We start from the raw sequence: 20,876 nt of genomic DNA, 5'->3' as shown, positions 1-20,876 counted from the left end.
CTTGTATACACTACTGCCTACGCTACGTCTTTGGATGTCCAGTAGGTGTCCCAAGCTTAATATATTCTACCTTTTCCCCAATTTTACTTATTTACTTATAAATAAATAGTATTGGCCAGGCGTGGTGGCTCATACCTGTAATCCCAGCACTTTAGGAGGCCAAGGTGGGCAGGTCACTTGGGCTTAAGCGAGACTAGCTTGGCCAACATGGTGAAACCATGTCTCTACAAAAAACATGCTTGGTGGCAGGTGCTTGTGGTCCCAGCTACTCGGAAGGCTGAGGTGGGATAATTGCTTGAGCCTGGGAGGCAGAGGTTGTAGTGAGCTGTGATTGTGCCACTGCACTCCAGCCTGGGCAACAGAGCAAGACCTTGTCTCAGATGAATGAATGAATGAATGAATGAATGAATGGTACTTCTAGTCATCTGGTCAGCCACAACTCTTGGAGTCTCCCTTGACTCCCTTCTCTCACATGTCCAGTCCATCAGCAAATCTTATCAGCTCACTGTAGATGCAGATCCAGAATCTGACCATTTCTCACCTCCTTTATTTGGTGTCGCCATGGTCCAAGCTACTACTTTCTCTTGCCTAGATGACTGCAGTAGCTTCTTAAGGTTTTTCTGCTTCTGCTCTTGGCCCCTACAGTCTTTCTGCCAGAGTGATCTCTTAAATCAGTAATTATTTTCCCATCTAAATTTATTTAATAGTTTTCTATATATATATATGTAGAAGAAAATCTGAGAATCCTTACTGTGGTCTTCAAGATGCTGAATGATTTGGCTCCTGGCAACTGTTCTGGCTTCATCCCCTACCACCTTCTATCTCCCTCATCTAGTCCAGCCCCAGCAGTTTCTTCACTATTGTTTAAGCATACCAAGAATGCTCCAGCCTTTACACTTGCTATTGTCTCTGCCTGAAATGTTTTTCACCCAGATTTTCACATGGTGTGTTCCTTCATTTCATTCAGTCCTCTGCTCAGATGCCAGATCATCACAGAAATCTTCCTGACCATGCCATCTGAAATGGCACCCTGTTCCCCATGTCCTGCCCTCCTTCAGTCTTTATTCTTCTTTGTTTTTCTTCTGCAGTGCCTATTACTACTTGCTATTTTTCTATAATTCCCACCCCCACTCTTTCTAGAAGGTTGGTTCTCTGTGGTTGTTTTACCCATTGTTGTATCCCCAGGACCTAGAATATTACCTGTGGCACTCCTTGTTGGATAAATAAATGAATGAGTTGCTTTTTTTCTCCATATACATTCTTATCTTACTAATGTACTTTTTAAAAATTTATGGAAAAATGCAGTCTTTTAAAAAATTGTGATAAATGCTCATAAAATTTACCATCTTAACCATTTGAAAATGTACAGTTCAGTTAATGCCACTGCTACCATCACCACCATTTCTCTCCAGAACTCTTTTCATCTTGCAAAACTGAAACTCTATACCCATTAAACAGTAAGTCTCCATTTCCACTGTCCCCTGAATGCTGGTAGCCACCATTCTACTTTCTGTGTCTGTGTCTATGTCTACATTTTGTCTCTATGAGCAGTCTTTTAGTTAACCACTAAGAGGTAAGGTTTGAATATTTGGGAAGTCAAACCACCCTCAGGTTTCTTTTAGCAAGTACTTACTGAATGCCTGCCTTGGGCTTGGTACTGTGCTAGGTCCAATAGGGTTACACAAGTGGTGTCTTCTACAGTTCTCTTCTGCTGGAAACAAGAATTGTGTATGTTTTACAAAAGACACCATTCCATATCTCATTACCATGCTCTGATACTGAAAACTAAGATATGTTTTGGTATGTGTATTAGTCAGGGTCTTACAGAGTGATAGAACCAATAGGATATATATGGTCATGCACGGCATAATGACATTCAGTCAATGACAGACCATATATATGGAACAGTGGTCCCGTAAGATTGTAAATAATGACATTCAGTCAATGACAGACCATGTATATGGAACAGTGGTCCCGTAAGATTGTAACACTGTAGTTTTATGGTACCTTTTCTATGTTTAGATACATAAATACTTACTATTGTGTTATAATTGCCTACAGTGTTCAGCATAGTAACTTGCTGTACTGGTTTGTATCCTAAGAGAAATAGGCTATACCATATAGCCTTGGTATGTGTGTTAGTCCGATTTCACACTGCTGATAAAGACATACCCGAGACTGGGCAATTTACAAAAGAAAGAGGTTTAATAGACTTACAGTTCCACGTGTCTGGGAGGCCTCACAATCATGGTGGAAGGTGAAAGGCATGTTTCACATGGCAACAGACAAGAGAAGAGAGCTTCTGAAGGGAAACTCCCCCTTATAAATCCATCAGGTCTCATGAGACTATTCACTATCATCAGAACAGCACGGGAAAACCTGCCCCCATGATTCAGTTACCTCCTACCAGGTCTCTCCCACAACATGTGGGAATTCAAGGTGGGATTTGGGTTGGGGACAGCCAAACTATATCAGTATGTAGTAGGCTATACCATCTAGGTTTGTGTAAATATACAATGTGATATTTGTGCGGGGACAAAATCACCTGATGACACATTTTTCAGAACATATCCCCATTGTTAAGTGACTCCTGACTGTATATAGACATATAAGAGGGGATTTATTAGGGAAATTGGCATATACTGTTATGGAGGCTGAGAAGTCCCACACAAGCTGTCTGTAAGCTGGAGACCCTGGCAGTGTAGCTCAGTCCAAGTGTAAAGGCCACAGAACCAGGGAAGCCAATGGTGTAACTTGTCCAAGACTAGAGCCTAAGAGCCAAGGGGGCTTGTGGTGTAAGTCCCAGAGTACAAAGGCTGGGGAGTCTAGAGTTTTGATGTGCAAGGACAGGAGAGGAAGAGTGTACCCCAGCTGCAGACACACTTGCCTTTTCTCCATTTTTGTTCTCTCTGGGCCCCTGGCTGACTGGATGGTGCCTACCCATATTGAGAGCAGATCTTCCCCACCTAGTCCACTCAGACTCACATGCTAATCTTCTCTAGAAACACAGACACATATCCAAAGATAATGCTTTACCAGGCCAGGTACAGTGGCTCACACCTGTAATCCTAGTACTTTGGGAGGCTGAGGTGGGTAGATAATCTGAGGTCAGGAGTTCAAGACTAGCCTGGCCAACATGGCAAAACCCCATCTACTAAAAATACAAAAATGAGCCGGGTGTGGTGGTGGGTGCCTGTAATCCCAGCTACTTGGGAGGCTGAGGCAGGAGAATTGCTTGAACCTGGGAGGCAGAGGTTGCAGTGAGCCCAGATTGCGCCACTGTGCTCCAGCCTGGGAGACAGAATGAGTGAGACTCCATCTGAAAAAACAAAACAAAACAAAACAAAAACAGTAAAAAAAACAAAGATAATGCTCTACCAGATTTCTAGGTATTTCTTAATCCAATGAGGTTGACAAAGTCAACCATAACTATGAATTTTGTATTTATAGCCATTTCCTGCTTTCCCCTTCTTTTTGTCTGGTCATTTCAAATTGACAGGAAAATATACCTTTTTTTTTTAAGGTAAAATTAACATAGAATTAAACATTTAATTTTTTTTTTTTTTTACAGAGTCTTGCTTTGTTGCCCAGGCTGGAGTGCAGTGGTGTGATCTTGGCTCACTGCAACCTCCACCTCCTGGGCTCAAGTGATTCTCCTGCCTCAGCCTCCCAAGCAGCTGGGATTACAGGCGCCCGCCACCATGCCCGGCTGATTTTGTATTTTTAGTAGAGATCAGGTTTCACCATGTTGGCCAGGCTGGTCTCAAACTCCTGACCTCAGGTGATCCATCCACTTCGGCCTCCCCAAAGTGTTGGGATTACAGGTGTGAGCCACCACGCCTGGCCAAACATTTAGTTTTTTAGTTTTTATTTTTTTAGACAGGGTCTTGCTCTGTCCCCCAAGCTGGGGTGCAGTGGTATGATCTTGGCTCACTGCAACCTCTGCCTGCTGGGCTCAAGCAATCCTCCTGCCTCAGCCTCCTGAGACTACAGGCATGGGCCACCATGCCTCGCTATAAGTTAAACATTTTAAAGTGTACGATTAAGTGGCATATAGTACATTCATAATGATATACAACCTCCACCTCTATTTAGTTCCAAAAGATTTTCAGCACCCCAAAAGAAAAACCCATAACCATTAAACAGTTGTTCCATATTCCCACCTTTCCCCAGCCCCTGGCAACTACCAATCTGTTTTCTGTCTCTATGGATTTACTTATTCTGAATGTTTTATATAAATGAAATAATGCAATATGTGTGTGACATTTGTGTCTAACTTACTTTACTAAGCATAATGTTTTCTAAGGTTCATCCACATTGTAGCATGTAAATCAGTACTTCATTTCTTATTATGGCTGAATAATGTTATGTTATATATGTATACCACAATTTGTTTATCCATTTATTAACTGATGGGCATTTGGGCTTTTTCTATGTTTTGCCTATTGTGAATAGTGCTATGAACATGCATATACGAGTATTTGTTTTAGTAACTGTTTTTGGTTCTTCGGGGTCTATACCTAGAAGTGGAATTGCCGGGTCATATGGTAATTCCATGTTTAACTTTTTGAGGAACTGTTAAACTATTTTCCATAATGGCTGAACTGTTTTACACTTCTGCCAGCAATGCACAAGGGTTCCAGTTTCTCTACATCCTCGCTAACACTTGGTATTTTCCTTTTTTAAAAATTATTATTAGAGCCATCCTTGTGTTGTGAGGTGTAATTCGTTGTGGTTTTTTATTTTTTTCTGAGACAGAGTCTCACTCTGTCGCCCAGGCTGGAGTGCAGTGGTGTGATCTCGGCTCACTGCAAGCTCCGCCTCCTGGGTTCATGCCATTCTCCTGCCTCAGCTTTCCGAGTAGCTGGGACTACAGGCGCCCGCCACCACACCTGGCTAATTTTTTGTACTTTTAGTAGAGGCAGGGTTTCACTGTGTTAGCCAGGATGGTCTCGATCTCCTGACCTCGTGATCTGCCCACCTCGGCCTCCCAAAGTGTTGGGATTACAGACGTGAGCCACCGCGCCTGGCCTTCATTGTGGTTTTGATTTGCATTCCCCTAATGACTAATCCTTTCATGAGCTCGTTTGCCATTTTTATATCTTCTTTGGAGAAAATATATTGTTTTGAGAACTATAATAACAATATTCAACTTGATGAAATCTTTTTCCTGTTTTCCTTAAATTTATCTTGATTGTACCCATAGCGTGTGCTATTAGAAGAGGAGTTAGTAAACTAAGCCCTGTGGATCAAATCTGGTTTGCTGACAGTTTTTATATGGCCTACATGCTAAGCATGGTTTTTACATTTTTTAATTGTTGGAGGAAAAAATCAAAAGAATATTTCATGATACATGAAAATTATGTGAAATTCAGATTTCAATGTCCATAAAGTTTTATTGGAACATGCAGTCACAGCCGTGCATTTATGTGTTGTCTTTGACTGCTGTCGTGCTACAATAGCAGAATTGATCAATTGCCATAGGGACCATATGGGCCATAAAGCCTAAAATATTTATTATCTGACTCTTTACAGGAAAAACTTTGCCAACCTTGTATTAGATGTTCTTGTTCCTTGTTCTTAGCTTCTGATATTTTTGCAGCCCTGATCATTGATGGGCAGAGAAGCCCTTAGGAGAGTGAGGAGGCACCCCTTGTGGGGAGAGCTCAAAATGGAATAGCATTCAGTTTAGTTCTCATAGATGACCAAATGTTTTTTATCTTGGTAGATACTAAATTTCAAGTTAAAATATTAATGATAGGAACCAAATAAAAAATTTCTAAAATATCATTTAAATTTCATCTGTCATTATCATTAAGAGTATCTCTCATCAATAATGTTCCAACTCTTAAAATACATTATTTATGATGAATATAAGAGAATCTCATGAAATCCTCCTCTAAAGACTCCTTTGGCCCCCAAATTCTGAAATGCTATAATTCTGACATTAACTGTTGGAATATCATTATGTTGCTCAATATCACATTGAACAGGAGCATCTTATATTGCAGAACTTATCAGTGCCCTTCCGTAACTAAATTATAAAAATTTAAAAACTAAATTAAAATTTTCTTTAACCTGTGTAAGAAGGGACATCTTCTCACACTTGAAGCTTTATTTGACATTTTTATTTTTATTTTGTTTTATTTTGAGATAGTGTCTCTGTTGCTTAGTCTGAGTGCAGTGGTGTGATCAGCTCACTGCAGCCTTGACCTCCTGGGCTCAAGCTATCCTCCTGCCTCAGCCTCCTGAGTAGCTGGGACTATAGCCACATGCCACCACACTCAGCTAATTTATTTTTGTATTTATTTTTATTTTTTTATAGAGACAGGGTTTCACCATGTTGCCTAGGCTGGTCTCGAACTTCTGGATGCAAGCGATCTACCCTCCTCAGCCTCCCAAAGTGCTAGGACTCTAGGTGTGAGCCACCGCACCTGGCCAACATTTTTTTTTCATAAGAGACTTCGAATTGATTAGGTGTCCAAATTGTAGTGATTTCAGTGATGTGTATTTTGTTAGGGAGGAGGTTATCCATTACAGCCACTGGCATGCTTTGTGTAGCTCTTTTGAGTACATGCTGACTTAAGGAAATAACTTTTAAATAAAAAATACCAAGAGGTAAAGAATATTAGACTGAATCATGCTCTTCTGATTTCTGCAATGGTATTACCCTAAACCAAATGTACCCAAATATTAATCTCATTGTGGGAACTACACTCTGATAGGATGTTTAGTTTTACAGTCAAAGGAAACTGAATGTTTAAGAGCAAAGTTCAATTCATTCCTGAAGAAAATACTTCCCATTTTATAGCTATTGGATTATGGATGAGATTTTATTAAGGTAATAGCCCCAAAACCCTAGAGGATGCTCTTGGTAGGAATGATCATTCCCAAACAAGTAGATGCAATGCTCTTGTCTCTTGGGGCCTTTCACCTCTCAAGCCTGTGATTCCCAAATACTTATCTTCTCTGATGAATATGCAAGTTTATCTTTTGAGTGAAGGCGTATAAACCTCTAGCAACACCAAGCTAGTCTATGTCTTTTTGTATTTTTATTGATTTCTGTACTCCTTAGCTCCTTGATTGGCAACTTTGTTAATGAAGGAAGCTTGCTTTAATAAAATTATGTTTAGATGCTTGTTATTAGAAGCTGTGTGCCAAATGCTACTTTAAAGCCCAATTATTAAAATTCAGTGGGTTTGTTACTACTGTTCTTCAGTCTGCCTCCCCATTTGAGATCTGTAGTTGCTTTAACAGTCATTTCCTTTGTCCTTATCAATAATTACTACTCTGCTTTCAAAGTAGGGTTACAACTGGGTCTATTCATATTCCAAAATCTTATTTTAGTATTTTCTACCACCATATGGCCTGTCCTTTATGGAGCTGGTATGTCTCTATAGGTTTAGAAAATGATCATAGTTAGGTGTTATTCTTTTTGGTCAGCTTTCAAAAATCCTGATGCCTAGGTTGCATTCCACACCAATTAAATTAAATTAGAATGTCTGAGGGTGGGAGGGGCCCCAAGCATCAGTAATTTTTAAAAAGTCCCAGGTGATTCCAATATGCAGCAAGGTTTGGAAACCATTGGCTTTACTCATTAGCCAAATGGCTTAGAGGCTCTTCCTCCTAGTTATCTACTAACTACTCAGGATTAATTACATGACCTTGACACAATGCATTTAGCTACTTGAAAAAGAGATGTTATGTAAATGTATTACTGTTATCATTATTATCATTATTACTTAAACTTCAGAGAAGCCATTTTATGGTAAAATGTGCATAACATAAAAGTTACCATTTTAACCTGTTTTTTTTTTTTTTTTTTTTTTTTTTTGAGATAGAGGTCTTACTATGTTGCCCAGGCTGGAGTGCAGTGGCTATTCACAGATGCAATCATAGGACACTGCAGTCTCAAGTAATTCTCCTGCTTCAGCCTCCCAGGTAGCTAGGACTACAGGTGTGCATCACCATACCTGGCACATTGTAATTTTTTTTTTTTTTTTAAGGTGGAGTTTCACTCTTGTTTCCCAGGCTGGAGTGCAATGACGCAATCTCGGCTCACTGCAACCTCCGCCTCCCAGATGCAAGCGATTTTCCGATTCTCCTGCCTCAGCCTCCCGAGTAGCTGGGATTACAGGCATGTGCCACCACGCCCAGCTAATTTTGTATTTTTAGTAGAGATGGGGTTTCACCATGTTGGTCAGGCTGGTCTCGAACTCCTGACCTTGGGTGAGCTGCCCGCCTCAGCCTCCCAAAATACTGGGATTACAGGCATGAGCCACCGCACCCGGCCTCATTGTAACCATTTTTAAGTATACAGTTCAGTGGCATGAAATACATTCACATTTGTATTTCATGTGAATACAACCATCACTACCATTCATCTACAAAACTCCTTTCATCTTCCCAAACGGAAACTCCGTACCTATTAAACAACAGCCCTTGGCACCTACCATTCTATTTTTTGTCTCTGAATTTGACTATTCCAGCTACCTCATATAAATGGGATCATATAGTATTTGTCTTTTGTCTTTTTGTGATTAGTTTATTTCATTTATCCTAATGCCTATTGTTGTAGCATGTGCCAGAATTTCCTCCATTTTGTTTGTTTGTTTGTTTGTTTTGAGACAGGGTTTTGCTCTGTCACCCACACTGGAGTGCAGTGGTGCCATCATAGCTCACTGCAGCCTTGAATTCCTGGGCTCAAGCAATCCTTCCGCCTCAGCCTTCTGAGTAGCTGGGGCTACAGGCATGTGCCACCACTCCTGGCTTTCTTCCTCCTTTTTTTTTTTTTTTTTGAGACGGAGTCTCACTCTGTCGCCCAGGCCGGAGTGCAGTGGCTCCATCTTGGCTCACTGCAACCTCCATCTCCCGGGTTCAAACAATTCTCCTGCCTCAGCCTCCCTGGTGGCTGGGACTACAGGCGCCTGCCACCATGCCCAACTAATTTTTTGTATTTTTAGTAGAGATGGGGTTTCACCATATTAGCCAGGATGGTCTTGATCTCCTGACCTTGTGATCTGCCTGCCTCGGCCTCCCAAACTGCTAGGATTACAGGCATGAGTCACCACTCCTGGTCCCGCTTTATTCCTTTTTAAGGCTAAATAACATTCCGTTATATGTGTATACCACATTTTGTTTATCCATTCATCTGTTGATGGATACTAGGATTTCTTCTCCCTTTTGCCTATTGTGAATAATACTGCTGATTATACTGCTGTGATCATGGGAGTATGAGAAACTCATTTTAAGTGATAAACTGATAAACTCTCCTTCCACAAAATACTTATGTGGATAAATTACTTGTTCTATATGGCTAGGTTGTAGTTCACCAGATGAGTAAGCACCTATCCCTGGTGACTAGTCTGTCTTTTACAAAATATGACAAAAATTAGGTACTATTTCAAATGCTTTCTAGATTTTCTACCAAGTGGTAGTAGAATTCCATTTTATTTGAATCAGCTATCCTGCTCGGGCTGTGGATCAATCCTGTAGAGGCTGTGTTCCAAAAATGTAGCAACAAAAGTCTTTGTATGTTGAGAATGAAATAAAGGGTTTGTGCTGTATACTTTAACTCACAAATGCTAAAGCAAAGTTGTAAACTTCAAAACCAACCTAAAAATGCTCCCTGGGCCGGGCGCAGTGGCTCACGCCTGTAATCCTAGCACTTTGGGAGGCTGAGGCGGGCAGATCACGAGGTCAGGAGTTTGAGACCAGTCTGGCCAACATAGTGAAACCCCATCTCTACTAAATATATAAAAAATTAGCCAGGTATGGTGGTGTGCGCCTGTAATCCCAGCTACTTGGGAGGCTGAGGCAGGAGAATCGCATGAACCCGGGAGGCGGAGTTTGCTATGAGCTGAGATTGCACTCCAGCGCGGGTGACAGTGTGAGACTCTGTCTCAAAAAAAAAAAAAAAAAAAAAAGCTCCCTGGTCATGTTGCTCTAGAAGTTGTAAGCACATTAGCTTGAAGCTAGAAGCCACTTTAAGATCCTTTTATTGCTGCCTGTGTTCCTCTATAGACGTTTTAGCTCAACTTCTACACATGGTCTTAGCTTTTTTGTATTACAGAACCTAGTACCTAATTTGCATTTTTACTTCTTTCATTCTTAATGAACCACTGTGTGAGGACATGCTTTCTTTTTTATGGACAGTTCAGCTAGGTGTTTTTACAAGAATTCAGCTGTGTTAGTCAATAAGTGGGAATTTTATAGAGTCAATCAACTTTGGAAAAATGGTGATTACTTATTTTAACATTGTTTTTTCTGAAGGCATTGCCTTTTCATGTTCCCACAACCCACCCACCTACTCTTACAGCATGAAGGAAATGAATTTTTATTTGTATGTGTATATTCACTTTGATCCCTTTGACACTTTTCCTTACTTTTTCACTTACAATAAAAGGCAATTGAAGGCCAGGCACCGTGGCTCACGCCTGTCATCCCAGCACTTTGGGAGGCCAAGGTGTGTGGATCACTTGAGGTTAGGAGTTCGAGACCAGCCTGGCCAACATGCTGAAACCCCGTCTCCACTAAAAATATAAAAATTAGCCGTGCGTGGTGGTGCATGCCTGTAATCCTAGCTACTTGGGAGGCTGAGGCAGGATAATCAGTTGAACCCAGGAGGCAGAGGTTGCAGCGAGCCGAGATTGTGCCGCCGTACTCCAGCCTGGACGATAAGAGCAAAACTCCGTCTCAAAAAAAAAAAAAAAAAAGGCAACTGAGGTGAAAAGAGTCTTGGCTATACTACTGAAAAGGAGGGACACTAAAATTTGTTGGTCTCTTTGGGTTACAACTGGGCTGCATCAGTGTGCTTTAGAGTTACAGGAATATCCCGAAATTGAGAATCTGATGGGACTATACAATTTTAGAGCCAGTTCTACAGGTGAGACATAGACAACTTGTTCTGCTTGTCTGAAAACTTGTCTATAGAACTCTACAGAGAGGCTAAGAGGGAGTAAACTATCCTTTCTTTCTAGATCTTCATCTGCTGGTGGACGTGGCCTGCAAGCAGGAGCGCTTTCCAAAGGAGGAAGAATTAAAAGAGTGAGGAATGGATGACAAATGTGACATTGTGCACTAGCTGTAGCTGGAGGCAGACTAGCCTTGCACATGACAAACTGTTGGGATTTTTTCAGTTCTGTTAAGGAAAAAAAAGTATTTTTTGTTTCGTTAATTGAGAATTTTGTTAATTGAGAATTGGGAATTTGTATGTACTACAGTGGTTCAGTTCAGATTATCTGCCTTGACAAACTACTGAACATCTAGCAGCCACGTTTTTTGGCTGCCCAGATCCCTTTTAAATGAAAAGTTCTGACCTTCTGTTATAGTCAAGGAGCATCTAAAAACTGCTCCATCTATGGTACTAAGAATAATCTGTGTGTGTGCTGATTTGTTGTCTTGCCACTCAAACTGTAGTCAGCACAACTTTAGTGGGGAATTCAGTCTCTCTGATTCAAGTCACAGTGTGATCCTTTTAGAGGAGATTGTGTGAGAAACAAAGGCATGTGAGGTCACCAGCATCACAGGTCTAAATGCATCAGGAATTCCAGGGAAGAAACTCTGGAGAAGAGCTAATTTTCTAAGTGATTAACCAGGAAATTCTCTTACTTCCTAACCCAGCATTCTGTTTTAAGAGCAAGGCATCCGGACTTGGACCATCTATCACACTTAACAGCCCCTGATTCTTTTATATTAATGGAAGCATTCTTCTATTTTCATATCTTTCTTTAATTTTAATGATACATTATCATAAATGGTAAAAAGATTTTATTAATATATCACTTATTTAAATGTCTTTAAAGAAAGTATTTAACTTGTTTAATATAATTGTATTTATAAATGCTGATAGATTTAAAGGTTTTAAAGTTTTATATTTTTATTATTGCAGGATAGAAGGATAAAGGATGCATGTGTAGTATTTTTATTTTGAAAGGAAAATGTACAATGTGTGAACAAAAACATTAAGAGATTTAATATACTATTTTCTTATTTTAGATTTTTACATTCAATAAGTATAAATTCTCATCTATATAAGGTATTGTGTGCAAATTTGGGAAAAAACTGATTAGCAGCCATTTAGTAGAAGCTATGCCTCTGATTTTTAAAGAATGGTTTCAATCTGGTTTAAGCTTCTGAGAGAATTTTGGATAATGGGATAGATGGTAACATTTTTTTCTTATCCCTGTTACAGGATTCTAGATTTGTGCAGTAGGATTGTGGGACTGTGTTTTAGGAGAGAAGGATGTCTTGGATGTCCAGTTTCTGTGGTTAATCCCTTACTTGCTTATCCAGTGACAGCAAGAAACTTTCTGATTTAAAGTCTTTCAATTGACCAAAACTTTCTTATTGGATTCTGTTTCAGTTCTCCTATTAAGCACTGCAGAAACGAAAGGAAAGCCTAGGAATATGAAACTAATTAAAAAGGCACTTGGTGATATGACATAGTACTATGCTAGCCGTTGTGGATGTAACAGTTCATTTCTTATACTGCATTGTGCCTTCCCAATGATGTCAAACCCTAGAAATATTACAGAGATCTACTTTTCTGGAAAAGGGTGAGCTCTGTATTGATCTGCAGTGACTCTGTTTAGATATTAAAGTAGGTTCTGAAAAGCGACCTGTGTGGTCCCTCTGATTAGACTAGTTAATGTCTATGTGATGGGCATTTATTTATCTTTATTAGCAAGGTTTAAAAGAGCAAATTATCAAGACACCTATATCTTTTGGCCAGACTATATAATATTTTGTCAGAGTATGTGAAGAGGAGACCCAATTTCCAAATGAAGGAACTTTGCTTTTTCTCTGTCATGTTGAAGAGCTAATATACTGTGTAGATTTTCCCCTAAATATGGCTTTCTTAGCTTTATAGATGTTGAGATAATATCTTTTGAGGAACACATGTCAAGCAGGAACCTTGGCATAGATTTGGTTTCAGTTGTTTTAAGGCTTAATTAATGAAATGCCTTAATCAGCTTTCCAAACATTTTTATATATGAATACAGCAGACCAAGGAGCTGGATCTCCTGCTATCCTTACACGCCTTGTATCTATCAACTAAAGCTGTCATTAATGACTTGGGCAAAATGGCAAGAGGTATAATAAAGTCTTCCTGTGAATTAGCCAGTAGGGTCTGACACAACTAGTCAACTAACAAGGTTCCTGACTAGTACCTCAGTATTTCAGCACCTTAAGCACTGATAAATTTCAATCAGTCAACAATAAAGTGAGTGTTCCAACTAGACTTGTTGTCTTGCTTGTTCTTACTGTTTGGTGATTAATAGAAAATTCAATAATTATGACAGTTAATAGTATAATTCAAATGAGATTTACTTTATTTTTCAAATAATCTGAATTTTAAAAGTTTTTTTTCATTTGTACTTGAATAGCAATGGAATTTTTTAAATGCCGTTAGGGATAAGGACAATTCTTAGACATGTTTTACAGAAACCTACATTTTTGGAAAAGGATGAATGATCTTTGATAAATTTAATCAATCCAGAGGTGAAAGTAGATCCTGAAGGATGATCTATCTCATGTATAAGACTAGCTAGTAGATGTCATTGAGACTTAGGCATTTCATTACAATAGTGATGGCATCTTTATGACATCTCTAGGAAAATGTAGTAGTATATCAACCCTAGAGGGTAACTCCAAAACTTTGAAGCTGAAGAATAATTGCTCTTGCAATTCTGGTGATCTAAAACAGTGAACTAAGCTACATAGAGCTGTTTGGTTTGATCTTGAGTTTCTCCAAGTCTCCAGGTTCATGATGCATATCATCATCATTTCCAAATCTCAGAGTTTCCTCAAGAGAGGGCAACCACATTTGTAACTGTCTTCTTTCTGTCAATTAAGTGTGTGTATTAATTACTAGGGCTAGGTCTTTTCATTCCTTTGCACGTTTTAAGCAGGAATAGATGAGGCAAAGCCCATTTGTAGGTTATTTTTTAGTTTAACTATGTTAAATTAAACTATGTTGGTCAGGCTGGTCTCAAATTCCCGACCTCGTGATCCACCCACCTTGGTCAACCAAAGTGCTGGGATTATAGGCGTGAGTCACCACGCCTGGCCCAACAAAAATTTTTTTTAAATTTGCAGGGTGTTGGCCAGGCGCAGTGGCTCACGCCTGTAATCCCAGCACTTTGGGAGACCGAGGCGGGTGGATCACAAGGTCAGGAGATGGAGACCATCCTGGCTAACACGGTGAAACCCCGTCTCTACTAAAAATACAAAAAATTAGCTGGGCGTGGTGGCGGGCGCCTGTAATCCCAGCTACTCGGGAGGCTGAGGCAGGAGAATGGCATGAACCGGGAGGCGGAGCTTGCAGTGAGCCGAGATAGCGCCACTGCACTCCAGCCTGGGCAACAGAGCGGGACTCCGTCTCAAAAAAAAAAAAAAAAAAATTTGCAGGGTGTGGTGGGACGCACCTGTGATCCCAGCTACTCTGGAGGCTGAGGTGGGAGGCCATGAAGGTCAAGGCTGCAGTGAGCCATGATGGCACAACTGTGCTCCAGCGTGGGTAACACAAGACCCTGTCTCAAACAACAAAAATAAACAAAAAATTTATTTTCGAATTTGTCTTTGATCTAGGTTAGTTATTAGATCTGAAATTCTGAAACTACTGTCATAAACCTTATCTACAGGGGAAACAATGTTGAAGGTCAATAGGCTACTCATCCTTTTTGCTTTCAGAGGCATTATGTCATTTAATCTTTACAACAGACCTATCGTAATTATTATCATCAGCATTTTACAGATGATCAGAGATTCGTTTTTACATGAGGTAAGAAACACATAAAATTTACTATCATAACCATTTTTAAGTGTACAGTTCACTAGATTTAACTATATCCACATTGTTGTTCATTTGTATAATTTTGAAAGTTTATGGCAGCGGTTCAGAAATAAAATGTCTCACCACAGTCAAATATAATCTGGTAATTTGAAACTTCAAATGTTATAAATGTATTAGAAACTGTTGTATTATTTCTAATGGCAGGGTAGTAATAAGGATTATAGTTCATGAATGTGGTAATTAGCCAGAAATTCATTTTCTTTTTGCCTATGTTCTTCTCATTAATCATATTTTACCCTTTGGCTTGTATTTATGACATGGACTTATTTGGAGTCTTACATTGAAGGCATAGGTCTGATCCATAGTATTATTTCACCTCCCAAAGATTGAAAAGAAAATAACAGTTGGATTCCAGACATCTGACATCAACCTGATTTGAAAGTTCCATATAGGCACAGTTTAGACAGAGCTACTGAATTTAAATTAGTAAGAGCTGAAGAAAAGCTAAGCATAAAATGGACAGAGCCCTTCCCAGGGTAGCAGACATAAGCAGCAATAAATCAGTAAGTACTAAAACACAGGATCACTTTATTCTGGCTTTCTGCCATTTATAGACACTCAAACTTGGAATGAGCAGAAATCCTTTTGAACTTATATTTGCAAAACCTTGTGTCCATTCTTTTATCTTCCGGATTACCTTTATTTTTTTCTGTTTATTTCCTCATACCATCATCTATGCTCTGTTGGGTGCAGAGTCTGCTTAGATATCTTTGAGTGGCCCTGATTTGCATGTGGTAGCTTGCTTACCCAGAGAAAGGTACTCGGGATCGAATTGGATGCAGTTTAGCTGTGGCTCAGTAGAGGGAGTAGAGGAGCTGAGGGAGGGGGGAGAGCGAAAGAACGGGTCTGGTTAAGTAAGTGTTGTGTGTGAGCACCAGGAGGAGGGGGGCAGGGTGGGGAGTGGTTGCCTCTAGCAGCTCCACCCTCACTTTGTCAGCAGGTAGAGAGCGTGATTGCAGTCCCAGGGGAGGGAGTCAGAGCTAGAACACCAATTACAAACCACAGGCTTCCTGCTCTAGGGAGTTGATCCAGAATTGTCTTTCTGAAAGGAAGCACTCGGAATCCTTCCGAACTTTCCAAGTCCATCCATGATTCAGAGATACTGCCTTCTCTCTCTCTGGGATTTTATGTGTTTCTGATAGTGAATTGTTGATGTATTTGCTACTTTGCTTCTTTTCTCTTTCAAGACTTGATCATTTTATATGCTGTTTGGAGAAAAAAAGAACTTTTGTTAGCAAGGAGGTTTCAGAAATGATTTTGGATTTTCTGTAAGTGTTTAATTTAGTTCTAGGGGACAGCATCTCTCATCCCGGAGTAAATTTCTGCCTTTGACCTGCATGGATTATTTTTTCAGGCTGCGGAATTTCTCGGCACCTACCTGTAGTATGGGGCACTTGGTTTGGTTGCAGAGTAAGAAGGTGGAAGAATGAGCTGTACTTGGTTAAGCAGTTGAAACCTTTTTTGAGCAGGATCTGTAAAAGCATAATTGAATTTGTTTCACCCCCGTGGATTCCAGTGGGCCCGACAGCGCAACAGGTTTGCAGATTTCTTTTGAAATTCCTTTTTCCCCCCTCCCTCTGCCTCAGCAAAAGAAAAGAATCCATATAACAGGTTCATGTTCAATTGCTTGGCTTTTCAGCACTTATTCTGAAGACTTTATAATATTTTTAAACTTGACCTTGGAACACAGAGGGCTTTGTGGGTGAGGTGTATTTATATTTACTTAAGGGTGCACATTTTAAAAATCTTATTCTGTGTTTGTACAAAGACGCAAATTTTCATAGTGCCTAGAAATAGCACAGATCTATTCTACTCAAGATTATTTGTATTTTTTCAGGGTATTCTACCTAGAGCCTGTGGTTAATCGCCTCCCTGCTCCCCCTACCTTTTATTCCCTACCCCCTCAGGGAATTTGGATACATGTGAGGAATAGTCCTTTGTTTTTCTTATGAACCTAGAAAATTACAGATCATAAAATCTGGATATTAAAGTAGTTTCCAAAAGCATCTCATGGGAAATCAAAGTGCTCGGCATTTCCGAGCTGGAGAATAAAATCAAGAATCCTTAAGAGAGAAAAGAAAATGGAGATGGAAATATGAATTTTAACTGGGAAAAATAATTGGAAAGCTAACCTTTTCAAATACTCTAATTATGAAAGTTGGAAAAGGTTGTGATGCTCAGGATTATCCTGTAATGTGTGAAGATACATAAATTAGCACCTAATTTATAGGCAAATTTTGGTAAAACACAAAAAATTATGGTATGTCTAAGTTCATGAAAAGTATGTAAATGCAGTGGGCCTAGAAACCTGGCCACACTGAAATACAGTTTAATGTGGAAACTTTTCTAAATACATATTGTAGCATCTTTGGACATCAACGTGTGGCCTGAAATTTTTATTATTGTTCCCTCTTCTCCTCCATTAAAAAAAAAATCTCCTTGTGGTATTTAGTCATTTACCATTAACACATATTATGGCTTAAAAAGGGCCATCCCTTCCTTTTCTGAGCTGGAGTTCTTCACGCTCACCTTTGATGCATGGCCTTAGCTGTTTACTTTGCCTTGTTTTGTTCATGAACATTGGGTTTAGTGCCTGGCAACTTGATGCATATGGAAGAGCAATGCCAAGTGATCTGACATAATACAAATTCACGAAGTGACATTCAATCACAAGCAAAGTTGGAAATTCCAAAGAGAAGTGGTGAGATCTTTACTAGTCACAGTGAAGATGGGAGAAAATGACATACCTGCAGCAGATGTGGGCTGAAAATATCCTCTTCTCTGCCCAATCAGGAATGCTACCTGTTTTTGGGAATAAACTTTAGAGAAAGGAAGGGCCAAAACTACGACTTGGCTTTCTGAAACGGAAGCATAAATGTTCTTTTCCTCCATTTGTCTGGATCTGAGAACCTGCATTTGGTATTAGCTAGTGGAAGCAGTATGTATGGTTGAAGTGCATTGCTGCAGCTGGTAGCATGAGTGGTGGCCACCAGCTGCAGCTGGCTGCCCTCTGGCCCTGGCTGCTGATGGCTACCCTGCAGGCAGGCTTTGGACGCACAGGACTGGTACTGGCAGCAGCGGTGGAGTCTGAAAGATCAGCAGAACAGAAAGCTATTATCAGAGTGATCCCCTTGAAAATGGACCCCACAGGAAAACTGAATCTCACTTTGGAAGGTGTGTTTGCTGGTGTTGCTGAAATAACTCCAGCAGAAGGAAAATTAATGCAGGCAAGTATAACTTTATTATATTTCACTTTCCATCTGTTTGAAATATGTCTTTCTTCTTTTGTCTCCCAAATGAAATACCATACACGGGCTTCTACTGCTTAGCTTTCTATTTCATAGAAAGAGTAGATACTGCCTTATTGGCATTCTAAATTTAGCAAATTATTATTTTATACTCTGGAGGAAATACATAAATCCTATATTTTAGAAGATTATCTGCTTATTTTAAACTGGTGTTGCATAACTACTTAGATAGACATAATAATACCTTTTTTTCAAGTGATATATTCTGGGCACTAATTTTTGATAGATGAAATATATGAGCTTATATTTAATTGATGCGAGGATTGTATTTTACATCCTGTTTAAATTGAAGTAAGCACTAAGAAGGTTGATTTTAATGGTCAGCAGCACCTGAAATTCTGGAATGCCCTTGGAGCATATTTGATTACTGTGTCACTTAAAATTCAGTCAAGCTTGAATGCTATGGCTGGCCTTACACCACGTGTGGCACCCTATTGCTAACCCCAAAATGGAGAGGACTGGATTACAAAATGGACACAAGGTGTAAACCTGCCTCCTGATCACTTTGGCCTTGTCCACACATAATTTTATCATTTTCAGGAATTTAAATTTAACATGTTTTTTACTGATCCGCCAAGTTTTTCAGACATAGTTTCTTAGGCTTTCAGGCTGTGAATTTTGCCTGTAAGTCATTCATACATGGCCTATTCTTTATGTGGTGAATTTATGAAATGACTGGGGGCACAGCATTTCATAGACCAATTGCTCATTCCCCATAGTAAAGACAGAGCCTAGAGGGCTATACCTTTTTAATGGGCATTCCATTGTCTTACTCCATAAAATGATGTTGCTTATTGATTGAAATTTATCATGTAAAAGAACACTTCTTGCTGTAGCTACTGGACACAGGTTAAAATATTCTTAAGTGTGATCCATCTTAGCATCCAAACTCAAATTTTAATTTTGTGGTATGAACAGACTATGAACAGAACCAATTTATTGTATGAATTTTAATTTTTGTCTACTTAAAGAAGATAGGAAAATTTAACAGATTATAGAACTTATTCCTAAACATGTATTCTTTAATATATGGTTTAGTGGTTATTCATTATCACTTCTTAGGCAATATTTTGAAGCTGGGATAAATGAAGTGAAGGAGAATTAGGTGAAAATGGAAGGCTTTGCTATTTAGAAAAATAGGAAAGAAGAGTATATCTGGAAAAATGGCATAAGATTTTTTTGAATAAGATAATTTGGATTCTAAAATGGAATTAGGAATACTTAAAAGCTGAACTCATAAATCATCTTGAATACTATGGCAATTGGAAAGGAAACTTCCTTCCTGGCCTTGCCTAGTTAATACCCTGAAGCATGAATTGTGTGCTCCATTTTAGGACCGTAAGTAATTTTGCTAGTCATATTTTGATATCACTGAAGTTTTTGAGAGCCATACGTGCCTTATTGATAACCTGTGATAGCATGTTCAGTGGGCTAATTATGTGTTCCATAAAATAATGTATTCTTTTAAGTTTTAATCTTATTATCATAAAGCTCTACATAAAGTTTGTGTTTTCATAAAGGAAAAAGTAAACAAACAGCACCAGTTGGCATTCTCTTTGCCATTCATTATTTTATCAATCTTTATCATGTCTTCTATTGTTCTATCGTTTTTCTCACTCTGGCAAATCTTACCAATCTATTTTGTTTTTTAAACTATTAACTTTGATCCTATCATTATACATTAAGTATTGCTTTTACTTTGTGAAGAGGGAATTTCATCATAACTTAGCAAAGACTTTCAGCCTTTACAGTGGATAGTTTTATGTCATTGGCAATTTTTAGTCATCTCCTTTCTGTCCACATATGCTTCGTTTAGGTCTTTAAATAAGTTTTTTCACTAGCTTAGTATTCATTTCTGGATACTTTCCATATTGGTTTCGGTTTATTGTCTGTTAATCAATTTTTAATCTACAACAGTTATTAAAGTTTTTCAACAGCCTCTTGTGAGAAACTTTTTTAAAAAACAAGCTTCTGAATTATATATATGGTTTTCTTTATCCATTCTTTGATTAATTCTTTCAAAGAACTCTAGTGTGTTAGGGACACATGGTTTACACTTCTGGAATCCATGCTGTTTGTTCCTTATCAGATTACACTGCAACTCAGGTTTACTCAACTGTGGTTAGCCAAGCCTTCCATTTAACTGAAGTTCTGTTTATATCTTCTAGAGATGTGCTTTGCTGAACTTTAGCTTTCTCAATGGAGAGCTGTACCCTGGTGTCAGAAATCTAAAAGTAGTCTTCTCTTCGGTTTTGAGGAATTCTGGATAATTCTGTGAATCCTTCTACCTATGAATTGTTGTAGTTACCTGTTAAGATTATTTGTCTCCAAAGATTGCAGTCAAATCTTTTTAAACTTGAGGATGCTATGTATGTACCAAAAAATGTACAGTTATGAGAACAGTGATTTAAAAAAAAAAAAACCATGTTGTTATTTCTGGAATTCTGAGATAATTTCTGAAAATCAGACATTTCTTTACATTTTGCTCAATTAATTCAGTGTATAGACAATTTCATAAGGACCAAACTGACTGAATTTTCATTTGTATTATGATTTTAATTTTTTCTTAGACAAAAGGAGACCCCCCCCCTTGACAATGTGCCCCCAATTTGTTGAATAGTAAAATAGACCATAGAATTGCCTCTAAAAGAATTTTGTCTCAACTTTATCTGATGGCTGTATGTATAAGGGCATTAAAAGTCAAGTTTTGA

General features: G+C 38.9%; 2 protein-coding genes across 9 annotated transcripts in view; both read left to right on the top strand.

Moving 5' to 3' along the window:
• The window catches only part of HSF5 (heat shock transcription factor 5), a 68,242-nt gene extending 54,999 nt beyond the window's left edge, over window positions 1-13,243 (top strand). For both annotated transcript variants that reach the window (NM_001080439.3, XM_011524283.2), the window contains exon 6: window positions 10,980-13,243. In NM_001080439.3, the coding sequence (NP_001073908.2) occupies window positions 10,980-11,050 (71 nt within the window). In that variant the 3' untranslated portion in view covers window positions 11,051-13,243. The remainder of the gene's footprint in view (window positions 1-10,979) is intronic.
• RNF43 (ring finger protein 43) overlaps window positions 15,876-20,876 on the top strand; it is a 65,035-nt gene continuing 60,034 nt past the window's right edge. For 2 of the 7 annotated variants that reach the window (XM_047436332.1, NM_001438820.1), the window contains exons 1-3: window positions 15,876-16,125; window positions 16,212-16,393; window positions 17,448-18,084. In XM_047436332.1, the coding sequence (XP_047292288.1) occupies window positions 17,833-18,084 (252 nt within the window). In that variant the 5' untranslated portion in view covers window positions 15,876-16,125; window positions 16,212-16,393; window positions 17,448-17,832. Of the gene's footprint in view, window positions 18,085-20,876 lie in introns of all 7 variants that reach the window. The other 5 variants (NM_001438822.1, NM_001438821.1, NM_001305544.3 and 2 more) reach the window with 4 other exon arrangements.

The sequence above is a fragment of the Homo sapiens genome, chromosome 17 (genome assembly GCF_000001405.40).
Source record: "Homo sapiens chromosome 17, GRCh38.p14 Primary Assembly".
Classification (NCBI taxonomy): domain Eukaryota; kingdom Metazoa; phylum Chordata; class Mammalia; order Primates; family Hominidae; genus Homo; species Homo sapiens.
Note: the sequence above shows the minus strand (reverse complement) of the source record. Positions and strands in the feature narration are given on the sequence as shown.